A 12,274-nucleotide genomic window follows, 5' to 3' on the forward strand; every position below is an offset into this window, starting at 1 on the left:
GGACTGTTTTTTAATTGGGTTGTTTGTTTTCTTTTTGTTGAGCTTTAAGACTTCTTTATATATTTTGAATAATGATCCTTCATAAGTCTTTTGCAAATATTTTCTCCCAGTCTGTGGCTTGTCTTTTCATTCTTTTAATGATGTCTTTCACAGAACATAAATATTTAATTTTAATGAAGTCAGCTTATTAATTCTTTCATAGATTGTGCCTTTGGTGTTGTATCTATTAACAAAAAGTCATTGCCAAACCCAAGGTAATCTAGATTTTCTTCTATGATATCTTATAGGATTTTATGGTTTTGCATTTTACCCTTAGGTCTGTGATATATTTTGAGTTAATTTTTGTTAAGGGTGTAAGGTCTATGTCTAGGATTATCATTATTATTATTACTTGCTAGTAGATGTCCAATTCCAGCACCATTTGTTGAGAAGACTGTCTTTTCTCTATTGTGTTGCCTTTGCTCCTTTGTCGAACATCAGTTAACTATTACTTATGTGGGTCTACCTCTAGGCTGTCTAGTAGGTCTACCCTTAAGTCTGTGATATATTTTGAGTTAATTTGTGTTAAGGGTGTAAGGTCAATGTCTAGGATTATCATTATTATTATTATTTGCTTGTAGATGTCCAGTTCCAGCACCGTTTGTTGAAAAGACTGTCTTTTCTCTATTGTGTTGCCTTTGCTCCTTTGTCAAAGATCAGTTAACTGTTACTTATGGGGGCCTACCTCTAGGCTGTCTATTCTGTTCATTGATCTGTTTGTCTGTTCTTTTGCCAATATAATTGTCTTGATTAATGTAGCTTTGTAGTAAATCTTGAAGTTGGGTAATGTTAGTCCCCCCGTTGAGTTCTTTTTAAACATTGTTTTGGATATTCTGGGTCTTTTGCCTCACATAAACTTTATTATTATTATTATTTTTTAGACAGAGTCTAGCTCTGTCCCCCAGGCTGGAGTGCAATGGCGTGATCTCGGCTCACTGCAACCTCTGCCTCTTGGGTTCAAGTGATTCTCCTGCCTCAGCTTCCCAAGTAGCTGGGATTACAGGCATGCAACACTGCTCCCAGCTAATTTTTGTATTCTTAGTAGAGTTTGGATTTCACCATGTTGGCCAGGCTTGTCTTAAACTCCTGACTTCAGGTGATCCACCTGCCTCAGCCTCCCAGAGTGCTAGGATTACAGGTGTGAGCCACCGTGCCGAGCCTCTTCACATAAACTTTAGAATCAGTTTGTTATCTATAAAATAACTTTCTGGGTTTTTTACTGAGTTGAGGCTGTACATCAAGTTGGGAAGAACTAACATCTTGATAATATTGAGTCTTCCTATCCAGAAACATGGAATACCACTGCATGTATTTACTTCCTTGATTTCTTTCATCAGAGTTTGCAGTTTTCATATAGATCTTGTACATATGTTTTTAGATTTATACCTAAGATTTCATTTGGGGGGATGCTAGTATAAATGGTATTGTGTTTTTTATTTCATATTCCAATTGTTCATTGCTGGTATATAGGAAAGCAATTGACTTTTGTATATTAACCTCATATTCTGCAACGTTGCTATGATTGCTTATTAGTCCCAGGAGTCTACTTTTTTTTTCCATCCTGTCAGATTTTCTACATAGACGATCATGTCATCTTTGAACAAGACAGTTTCATTTCTTCCTTCCAAATCTATGCCTTTTCTTTCCTCTTTTTATCTTATTGCAATAGCTAGGACTTCTAGTATGATGTTGTAAAGGAGTGCTGAGAGGAGGCATCCTTGCCTTGCTGTCAGTCTTTGCGGGAAAACTTCTAGTTTCTCACTGTTAAGTTTGCTGTTAGCTATAGGTTTTTTGTAGATATTCTTTATCAAGTTGAGAAAGTTCCCCTGTACTTCTCCTTTACTGAGAGGGATAGTTCACTTTTGGGGAAATAAAAATATTTTGCCATAGGGAAATCTATCACTCTGTTTTTGGAGAAAGTATGATTTTGATAGTCAACTGAAGATTATACTCTGCAATAGGAAGATTTTTTGTATAAAGTTGCAATTTCAATTTCAAAGGTTTACTTGTGAGTTTTATTGCAACTAACTGTGATATTTCTTTAATCTGTATTTTAAAATATAAAATACATGTATTAGGTCAGAATCTCTTTTTAGCTTTCTGTAATAAACACATACACATATGGTGAACATATGGGTAAAGAAACTTTTTTTTTTTTTTTTTTTTTTTTTGGAGACAGGTTCTTGCTTTAAGACAGTTTTTTTTTGGAGACAGGTTCTTGCTTTAAGACAGGTTATTTTATTGCTTTGGCCAGGCTGGAGTACAGCGGTACGATCATGGCTCACTGCAGCCTACACCTCGTGGGCTGAAGGCATTTTCCCACTTCAGCTTCCCAAGTAGCTGGGACCACAGGTGTGTGCCACCACACTTGACTAATTTTTAAAAATTTTTATAGTGATGGGGTCTCCTGTGTTGCCCAGGCTGGTCTCGAACTCCTGAGTCCAAGCAATTCTCCTGCCTCAGTCTCCCAAAGTGCTGGGATTACAGGCATGAGCCACCTCACCCAGACATTAGGGGAATTTGCCTTTCTTTCCTTCTTTTTTTTTGTGTGTGTGTTTTAGAGGATTGCATTTGTGCAACTTTGTGGAACTGAGGTGCCAAGTGTTGCTTCAGTACCTGGGTGAGGATGTTGCTGGGAGGGCAGACTTCCTTCCAGATGCACATGGAGCCCTGGAGATTGGCAATTTGAGGCACCTTGGCAGAATGTTGATCCATGTACATTTGTAATTTCACAGGGAAACCTTTAAGATGTTTTGAGAGTGATTGAGAAAGGGTATGATGGCCTCATGATGAGGCAGCAAAGAGATCGTCTCCCAGGGACAATTAGCAGGAACTGAGAAGTCACACTCAAGAGTTATTACAGTAAGCATTCAGAGCAATCACAAGAAGGGTGCCTCATTTCTGTCTCTAGCTGGTGAAAACTGGACATACTGGTTAAATATATGAGTTACCTTAACATCCCTGTATTTGTTTAGAAGAAATAAGATACAATGAAAAAGTGTACAATAATATGTTTTACAAAAGGAAAAGGTACCCCTCTCACATAAGCATACAACCCAATTTAAAAAACAAAAAACAAAAAACAAAAAACAAAAAAACCAACGGACTCAGCCAACTAGAGTTTATTTGTAAACAGTCTCAGGTCACCTCAGTGTTTGTATCAGCTGCTTCAGTAACCACAGAAGATTCCTGTCTCATTGACTGGAGACAGCAGCTTCAATTTTGAGACAGCAAGGTATCTGGAAGGTTGAGTGAAGTCAGCAATTGGTAACATAATGTATTCAATACATTTTGGTCTGTGAGTACTGCATGCCATGGTGCTATTATGCTATATGTGAATTAAACAAAGCAATGTAGAGGGTCACTTTCCCACATTAGCACAGTAATATCTGTGGAAAAAAATCTTATGCAACTTTTAAGATATTGTTAACCATTGTCATTTGTGTTAACTCACTTTGAGATGGGCTTCTGATTAGCTTCATTTTCCTTTATACTTGCTAGAAAATAATATGGGAGCTACACAGAATTACTATATAAAATTAGTGCTGATGATCACAGTACCGTCATGACTTTAAAGAGTTGTGCTTTTTGTAATTTTCAAGAATACGAAGGCAGTATGTGATCCAAAATGAATTTTATGTGTATTTTACTGAGACTATAAACTGCTTTTCCTGTAATTAGTTTAAAAATTATCATACAGCAGAGTTGACTTTCTTTTTGGTGTACAGCTTAACCCATGTGTAGATTTGCATAACACCTCCACAATCTATACCAAACAGTTCCATCAGTCTGCAAAACTCCCTTGTGCTATCAGTTTAGAATCATGCCCTCCCCATCCCCAGTCTCTAGTAGTCACTCATCTATTGTCTATCATTATAGTTTTGTCTTATGAGAATATTATTTATATAAATAGAATTATACAGTGTGTAACATTTTGAGACTGGCTTCTTTCACTTAGTGTAATGCCTTTGAGATTTATCCAAATTGTTACATGTATAGTGGTTCACTTTTTAAAAAACTGCTGCATAGTGTATAGGCATACCATAGTTCATTTATCTGTTTACACATTGAAGGACCACTTACCCATGATCAGTTTACCTATTGAAGGTTTTAGCAATTGTGGGTGGAGCTTCTTTTCATTTTTGTGTGCATGTAAGTTTTCATTTCTCTTGGATAAACACCCAGGAGTGGGATTGCTGGGTCATATTGGTAATTGTATGCTTAATTTTATAAGAAACTGCTAACCTGTTTTCCAGAGTGACTGTGCCATTCTGAATTCCCATAAGCAGCATAGGAGAGTTCCAGTTGTTCTAGAAGTCCTTAGCAGTTGGTGCTGTCAGTAATTTTTTTATTCTAGGCATTTGAACGGGTGTAAACTGGTATCTCATTGTGGTTTTAATTTACATTTCCATCTTGGCTTATGTAGTTGAAGATTTTGTAATGTGTTTATTTGCCATCATTATATCTACTTTGGTAGGTCAGCACTTATGGGAAGGGTGTTTTTTTCCCCTTAGGGGTCCATCTGCTTCTGTGGGAATGGGGCCAATTTACCTTGCCCAGTTATGTAGGGAGTAGGATGTGAAAACCTAAGTTAACTGGCACCAATGATACCTTAGTGCCCTTTATATATTGTTTTCCCTGGATAGTTTCCTGGCAATCTTGACCCATGACCTTGTTCTGACTACGTTCCTACATCTATTACAAAGGAGCCAAATCATGTATAAGAGGAACAGATGGCATGTGCTTTTACATGATGCTTTCGTGGTGCCAAGTCTCTATGTAACATTTTGTATTGCAGGATGGTGTGGAGTAGATGAGAAATGTATATATGGCTATTCTGAGCTGGTAGCATAAAGGTTACCCAAGTGTTTTTCTCTCCTAGGTATGTAAGATATTCTGCATCTTTAGCATCAAAGTGAGATGCCAGAGACAGAGGCTAACAAATCTGAGTTATGAATCAGGAGTATGAGGGAGTGGAGACTACTGCCAAGATAGTAGTTGAACAGTGATAACTATAGATGCTCCCCATATCAGAGGCATACCCCATAGATGCTAGCAGGAGGGTAGTATTTGAGGAAAGGGTCACTGGAGAAGCTGGTGGCATGGATGAGGCTGAAGAGCACCTGTAGTGGGAGACAGGAGTGAAAAAGTTGAACAAATAGAGGTTGGTGGCATAGGGGAATTTCTGATATTGTTACACAGGTGAAGTGATAGTGAAGTCCACAGTAGAGCTAGGGTAGAGACTTGTCCCAGTGGAATGGATATGAAGGTCCTGGGAGCTGTAGAGTAAAGGAAATCTGAGGCTACCATGTTGGTTGGTTCATCATTGTCAATACTGACATTACCAAAGATAACGCCATGCTTGGTATAGAGAGAGTGAAATGTGAACCACTTGCATTCTTCAGTGTAATGTAGAGGAGTAAAAGGGAAGAATGTAGGTAACAGCAATGAGGGAGGAAGATGGTAAGGTTTATCAGACTAGGCACCTACTGGGAAAAAAGGGTGTTAGTATGAGAGTGAAAGAGTAATGATCAGAAAGTGCCAAAGTGGCTAAAAGGCATTGAGGCCAGCCTTTCCCCCATCATCCCTACTATAGTGTCTCAGGTGAGGACTGGGAGAATGAGCAGCCTTCCCTGGGAGGACAACAGGGGAAGTGGGATTCTTGGGCAGAATCAGGTTTGGGTGAGTCCAGGTAGTAGATGGATTCTGTGAAGAAGTTAAGGAGTGTTTTTTTACAACAGAATGGGGGGAAGTGTACAGAATTTGGAAGAACTCAGCCGTGGGAGGGAGGGAGTTTCTCAAAGTGGCACAGAACAACACAGAAATGAACATCCTAAGAGGACAAAAGATACAGGCATTTATTTTGGGGTAGTGGTCAAGAGGTGTGGGGAATACATGAAGTAGGTGCTCCAACCAGAAATCCCGGGCAATGTGGAATATCTGATGATAGCAGTGAGAGCCCTGCTCTTTTGTGATGAGGCCAGCAGAGACGAGCTAATCTGGCTGTGATTGGTTCCCATGCACTGGCTAATAGATTTTTTGCCCTAAATTTCTTTTGGATTGCATTACCTTGTGGGTCACATTTGGGAGAACCTTACCTAATTAGTGCTTCAAAGTTCATCTAGTTTAAACTTTTGCTCTGTTTCAAGTTATAATCACCAGTTTGCACCACTGTCACCAATTAGTTCTTGGGTTTCAAGAACTAATATTGGAGCACTCATTGGAATTGTACAACAATTAATATTCATAATTTAGCACAATTTATCATTCTTCAATAGATTTTTTCCCTTGTACATTTTTAAATACAGATTATATATTTTCATTTTTCTCTTTAAAAAAGTAACTGAATTACATGAAATCAGAAGGTTATGTTTCCAGCATAGAATGACCGTTTTGACACTGATGGTAGGGCTCAGAACTCAAATGCTATCTTCAAATTTTGGTCTTAACAAAAATCATAAATAAAAGCTCAGTTTTAAAAAATCACTAATGTAAAACTAAAAACGAGCAACTGAGCCCTTTTAGCTGACACCATCATTTTGATGCTTAATGGTCTCTTAAATTGTCCAAGTAAATACTACCATTGATGCCACTCATTTCATGCTGCTGGCCTCTGACAGCACGATGGAAATTTGGGAACTTGTAAGAACAAGTGACATGTCAGATACCAAATCTTCCTACCTAATAGTATGTGTCAAGGAGACTGAGACTGAGTTAGTAATGTTTTTGTTTAAAATGTCTGCATGAAACGAAACAAAATTGTATTTTGTCTTTTTTCATCTTTGGAATTTTTCTGGCTTTGTTTCATAAGAGTGATTCTGCTTGCAAAGTGTGGGTTGAAAATTTCGATATCCACTGTGAATTTAGGCTGGGTGCGGTGGCTCAGGCCTGTAATCCCAGCACTTTGGGAGGCTGAGGTGGGTGGATCACCTGAGGTCAGGAGTTCAAGACCAGCCTGGCCAACCTGGTGAAACCCCGTCTGTACTAAAAACACAAAAATTAGCGGGGCGTGTGGCAGCCGCCTGTAATCTCAGCTACTTGGGAAGCTGAGGCAGGAGAATTGCTTGAACCCGATAGGTGGAGGTTGCAGTGAGCTGAGATTGCGCCATTGCATTCCAGCCTATGTGACAAGAGTGAAACTCTATCTAAAAAAAAAAAAACAAAAACAAACCAAAAAAAAAAAAAAAACACTGAATTTGAATATTAAGTTGTATACTTGTGGGAGAGTGACAATTGCCCCTTACATCAAATACCCCGTAGTTCATTGAGAATGGCTGAGAGTGCCTATGAAGCACACATTCTAGGTTATCTTTCTTCAAAGGTGTCTAGGTGATGTTTCTAACCTGAAATATTGTGTGCCCAGTGTAGCTTAGTGCTAGCAAATAAAACAGCCACTGGTTCCCTTCCAGAATACCCAACAAACAATAAAAAAGAGAGCAGTGAATTGGAGAGATGCACCTCTCACCTTGGCTGACTTTCAATTTGGGCATCTGATGGAATAGTAGGATTTGTGTGGTTTAGAAAAAGATTGATTTACCTAAATGACCGAAGGCCCAGTGCACAGGAATATGGCCTGCAACTGGGTATCTGAACTAAAACAAAGGCCCCAGGTATCCAATGTGCTACTGTTGGCCCTGATAATTGGTGTTAGGTAAGAGTGTACTTTTCTACTACCCTCACCTCCCTCCAGGATAAGGCAAAGTAGTCCTCACATATGTTGCTTTTCTTTACTGCAGGACATTTGTGAAGATATTTCTGATCATGTTGAGCAAATCCATGCCCTCCTTGAAACAGAGTTCTCCCTAAAGCTGCTGTCTTACTCTGTCAACGTGATAGTGGACATCCACGCAGTGCAGCTCCTCTGGCACCAGCTTCGAGTCTCAGTGCTGGTTCTGCGGGAGCGCATTCTGCAAGGTCTGCAGGACGCCAATGGCAACTACACTAGGCAGACGGACATTCTGCAAGCTTTCTCTGAAGAGACAAAAGAGGTGAGTGTTTTCCTTGAAGTTAAGCAATGCATTTCCAGGTATGACCAATTGAGAATGTTTTCAGTTTAGAGATGTAGGATAGGAATTCTTTGTAGGTAAATAAGCAGGCCCTGATGGGCTTTGAATCTAGGCATAGTGACTAGAAGCTAGGGCACTTCCAATATGAATGGGGCTTTAGACCAGAGTTAGCTCATACCTGGTAATTTGCACATATGCCATTCATTGTTATTGATGCTAACCTGGCTTCCTTTTCCTCTTCAATTATTTAATAAATATGTATTGAGTACTTACTATGTGTCAGACACTCAGTGCTAAGAATATAATAATGATCAAAACATGGTTTCTGTCTTCAAGTAGCTTTGAGTCTAGAGGAAAATGGAGCCAAGTGAATAGACATTCAAGCCAAACTGTGATAAGTCTACAAGATGCCATTGGAGGACAGAGAAAGAGTCACCTAATTCAGATGGGAGGCTTTCCAAAAGAAATGACTCTACCTGAGACGTAAAGGAGAGACAGGAATAGACTGGTGAACAGAGGCAGAACATGTTCTAGGCAGAGGACATGGCATTATCAAATACCCAGAGATAAGAAAGAGAATGGCAGGCCCAGAGAGCTGCCAGTAGCACTGGAGCAAAAAGCCCAAGGAACCAGGAGGCGGGATTTGGGCTAATAGGTAAGCTGAGGTCAGATCATGAAGATAAAGAGCTTTCTAAATCCATATTAAGAGATTTGGACTTCATTTTGAGGACAAAAGAAGTGTTTGTTCAGCAAACTCCCATGATTCATGTTTTAGAAGAATCATTCTAGATACAGTGAATCAAATGGACATTAGAATATTATACAAAATATATTTGATTTTTCTTATTTATATTCAGTACCTGAAAGATTTTATTGTTATTCTTGATGAATAACTTAAGAATGGACCCTGTACATCTGAATTCGAGTGAACTGTCTCATTCTTAAATACAATGGACATATATTTATAGAAAAAAAAGTGTTTTTGCTTGCTAAGCAGCGGCTGTATGTATACATATATGTACGGATACCATATATGGATACGTTGCATGTAGGGAGTGGTGGGTGTGTACGCGCAGGCATGTGTGTTTAGTCCTTCGGCTCTTAATACCCAGTTTAGTGTTCTACTATTAGTTTGTGGAAAACATATATTCTACAAGTTTATAAGGCACTTACATTAATATATGAGATTAAAAGGCCTTATAATGAGTGTTGCATAATTCATTAATTTATTGACATTAATGTTTCAGTGGCTCCAACATTATCAACAACACCAAACAAATCTGTGCCTATTCTCATAAATCATTTATTGTTGTTGATTTTTGTTTATTCAAAATAAAGTTTCTTGCTGTGGCAAACTCTCCGCAGTGCCTAGAAGTCTATAGGAATCAAAATCGACTAGGCTTACCTCTAACTTTAAGTCACAGTCTTTGTTTTCAGTTAGCTCTCCTTGTTACTGTGGCAGGACTTCAGTAGAGTAACCACGGGATGAATATGTGAGTTGCGTGTTAGTTCCCAGATGCCATCCCTCCCAAGTTAGATCCCTAGAGGGTTCTCAACTGGGACTGTTGTGGTTATGGGAGACTACAAAGAATCTCAAGCTGACCAACTTTGCCCTAAATCTGATATCCTTGATAGAATGTGCTAATGGAGATCAGAGATGAGGAAGGTTTGTATAACCTCTAGAGAGATCTTTCTTTAGATATCTACCTGGCATCTTCAAGTCTATATATTCTTTTCTTCCCCCTTCCCCATTTGTTGTCCAACACCCAGTGCTCTGTCCAACATCCAATGCTGGTCAGTGATCAAATCTGCCTGCTTTCTACTACTAGAAGGAGATTAAAAATCATTGATTCAAATCATATATTTATTAAATCAATAAACATTTATTGATAATCAGCTCTGTTGTAGGAGCTGGAGATATAGCAGTGCTCTAGGGTTTGTTGTTATTATTGTTCTGTGGAATACATTCATCATACACTTAATTGAACTTGTATCATTCATGAAGTAGTAGCTCAATAAATGATGAAGAGCCATGGACGGTAATTGTTGCTGGCCACTGTTTTTACAACTGTGTTGTGAATTTACAATAAGTAGCATCTATTCTCACAACACGAACTCAGCAATTATGAATGGATTTGATTGGAAGCAGTTTAGTGCATTCTTATGTTTGAAGTCAGTCTTTAGTCCTGTTGTAGAGATTGCAGAAAATTTTTGTGTGAGGGGTAAAGGAACAGTAGATTTTCAGTTATCCGCTTTATGGATATATTTCTATGAATTAAAGTTCTGCCTCTATAACCATACTTCCTGAAATTAGATTTCTGATCCTTTATTTCTGTGTGTCTAGTGTGACTCTATGAGGATGTTTAAAAGACTGCTTAGTTTTATTTATTTCTGCTAGCACAATGGAATTGTAAAAAGCAGGAAGATAATTAGGATAAAATTATCAGCTTTCTCAGAATAAATTCAACTATGAAAGATTTGTAGAATGATGAGGGAAATGGCAAAATAAAAAAACACCCAAATTTAAAAAGCACTGGTAAATTAGAATAGTAGATGTCCTTCCAGTAAAGGAAGATTCATTTTTCTCTTTCTGGAAGTTAGTTAAATTTCAGAGCCATATTAAAGAGCAAGTTTGAAACTCTGGAGAGTGGCAAATTCCATCTTCTTCTCTTCTTGAAAAAACAATATATGAACTTTATTCTTTATTTAAATATGGAGCAGACCATATCTAGTAAAAAAAAATTGGCCAATACCTTACTAAAATAAAACTAGTCAATAACTAAACAAACAAATAAAGAACACTTGAAGGCAAAGCTCAAAACTATTTAAAAAATATGTTGTTCTGCAATTTTCTATATTCCAGACATTGTGATAAGCACTTTAAATTTGTTTCATTTAGGAAGGAAGGTGAGGGATATTAAAAGTAGTTCCCTTTTATAGATGGAAAAATTGAATTTAAGAATAGGTTAAGTGAATACTTCTATGTAACAAACCTGCACATCCTGCACATGTACCCCAGAACTAAAAATTAAAATTAAATTTAAATTTTAAAAAAGAAGAATTTAAGTGAATATTTAAGGATATAAATCTAGGTGTACTTAAATAAAACAAAACCAGTTTTTAACTGATTTCTATTTTAATAATAATTATTGTTTCTTCCCTGCCTTTCTTCCTTCTATCTTCTCTATTTATTGGTTTCTTACTATGTATAAGACTCTATGCATTCAAAGGTGAATAACACATGTTAGAAATGACCTTCATAATTTTTTTGGTCCTCACATAGTTCTGAGAGGTAGGCAGAGCAAGTGCTGTTATCCTCAATTTACAGGTATTATGATTGTATTCATCTTACAGATGAGAGAATTGGGGTCAAGAGAGGTAATGTCACACAGGTGATAAGAGAGTGATAACTCTTAATAATATCAACACAATAGGAAACATTGATTGAGAACTTACCATGTGCTAGATGGTGTGGTAAGCACTTACCTAAATGATACCTTCTGCGTGGGGATGCATTGGTCCTTCCAGAGTGCTCACAACATAGCACTTTGTGGGTTCCTCCACTGGCACTTATAATGGGCCAAATTGTATCAGGCCAAAGTATGTGCTATATTTTGAACTACATGAGGGTTAGTTCCAGATTATATTCATCTGTGTATCTCCCACAGCACATAGTTCATATTGCTGTAAAAAAATCTGATTAGTTGAATTAAATAATACAGATAATCCCTGCTTTAGATGTGGAAGAGGGAGACATAATTTCAGTTTGATAAACTGGGAATTAATCATGAAGATTAATTGTTTGATTCATAATTTCAGCAAGTAGAAAATGGAAGTTCTCTTAAGAACTATTAATATTGTGTAAATAAAAATATTGAAAGATTTTTGTATATGTTTTCCCCTTGCCTATGAGAAACAAACCTTTGTTGTACTTCACAGTTGCTTGTCATTACTTGCTCTTCTCATCAACTGCTGTTCTCTGGGATGCATTCGGAATCATAGAATCCCAACGTGGTAGGGCTGAAAGGAATCTGACAAAGTCTAGTCCATGTAGACTAACATGTAAATTGATGGGCCTCTTACTAGAATGCCACAGCCCCCACAGGTCTGAGGACTCATGATCTCCGCATCTCTAAGTTACGAATGTTAGATTTCATGTTCAGTTGGTGGCGAAACATAGTGTTAACAAAAAGAAAGATCTAAGAAGGCATTTGGAACTAGGCTTCAGT

The 12,274-nt window shown here is 37.8% G+C and overlaps 1 protein-coding gene across 12 annotated transcripts in view; it reads left to right on the forward strand.

Annotated features, from left to right (window-relative positions):
• Positions 1-12,274, forward strand: part of AKAP6 (A-kinase anchoring protein 6) — a 508,387-nt gene that overhangs the window by 198,481 nt on the left and 297,632 nt on the right. For all 12 annotated transcript variants that reach the window (XM_047431969.1, XM_047431966.1, XM_024449755.2 and 9 more), the window contains one exon: positions 7,776-8,027. In XM_047431969.1, coding sequence (XP_047287925.1) covers positions 7,776-8,027 — 252 coding nt within the window. The remainder of the gene's footprint in view (positions 1-7,775; positions 8,028-12,274) is intronic.

This window comes from Homo sapiens, chromosome 14 (assembly GCF_000001405.40).
Source record: "Homo sapiens chromosome 14, GRCh38.p14 Primary Assembly".
NCBI classification, from domain to species: Eukaryota; Metazoa; Chordata; class Mammalia; order Primates; family Hominidae; genus Homo; species Homo sapiens.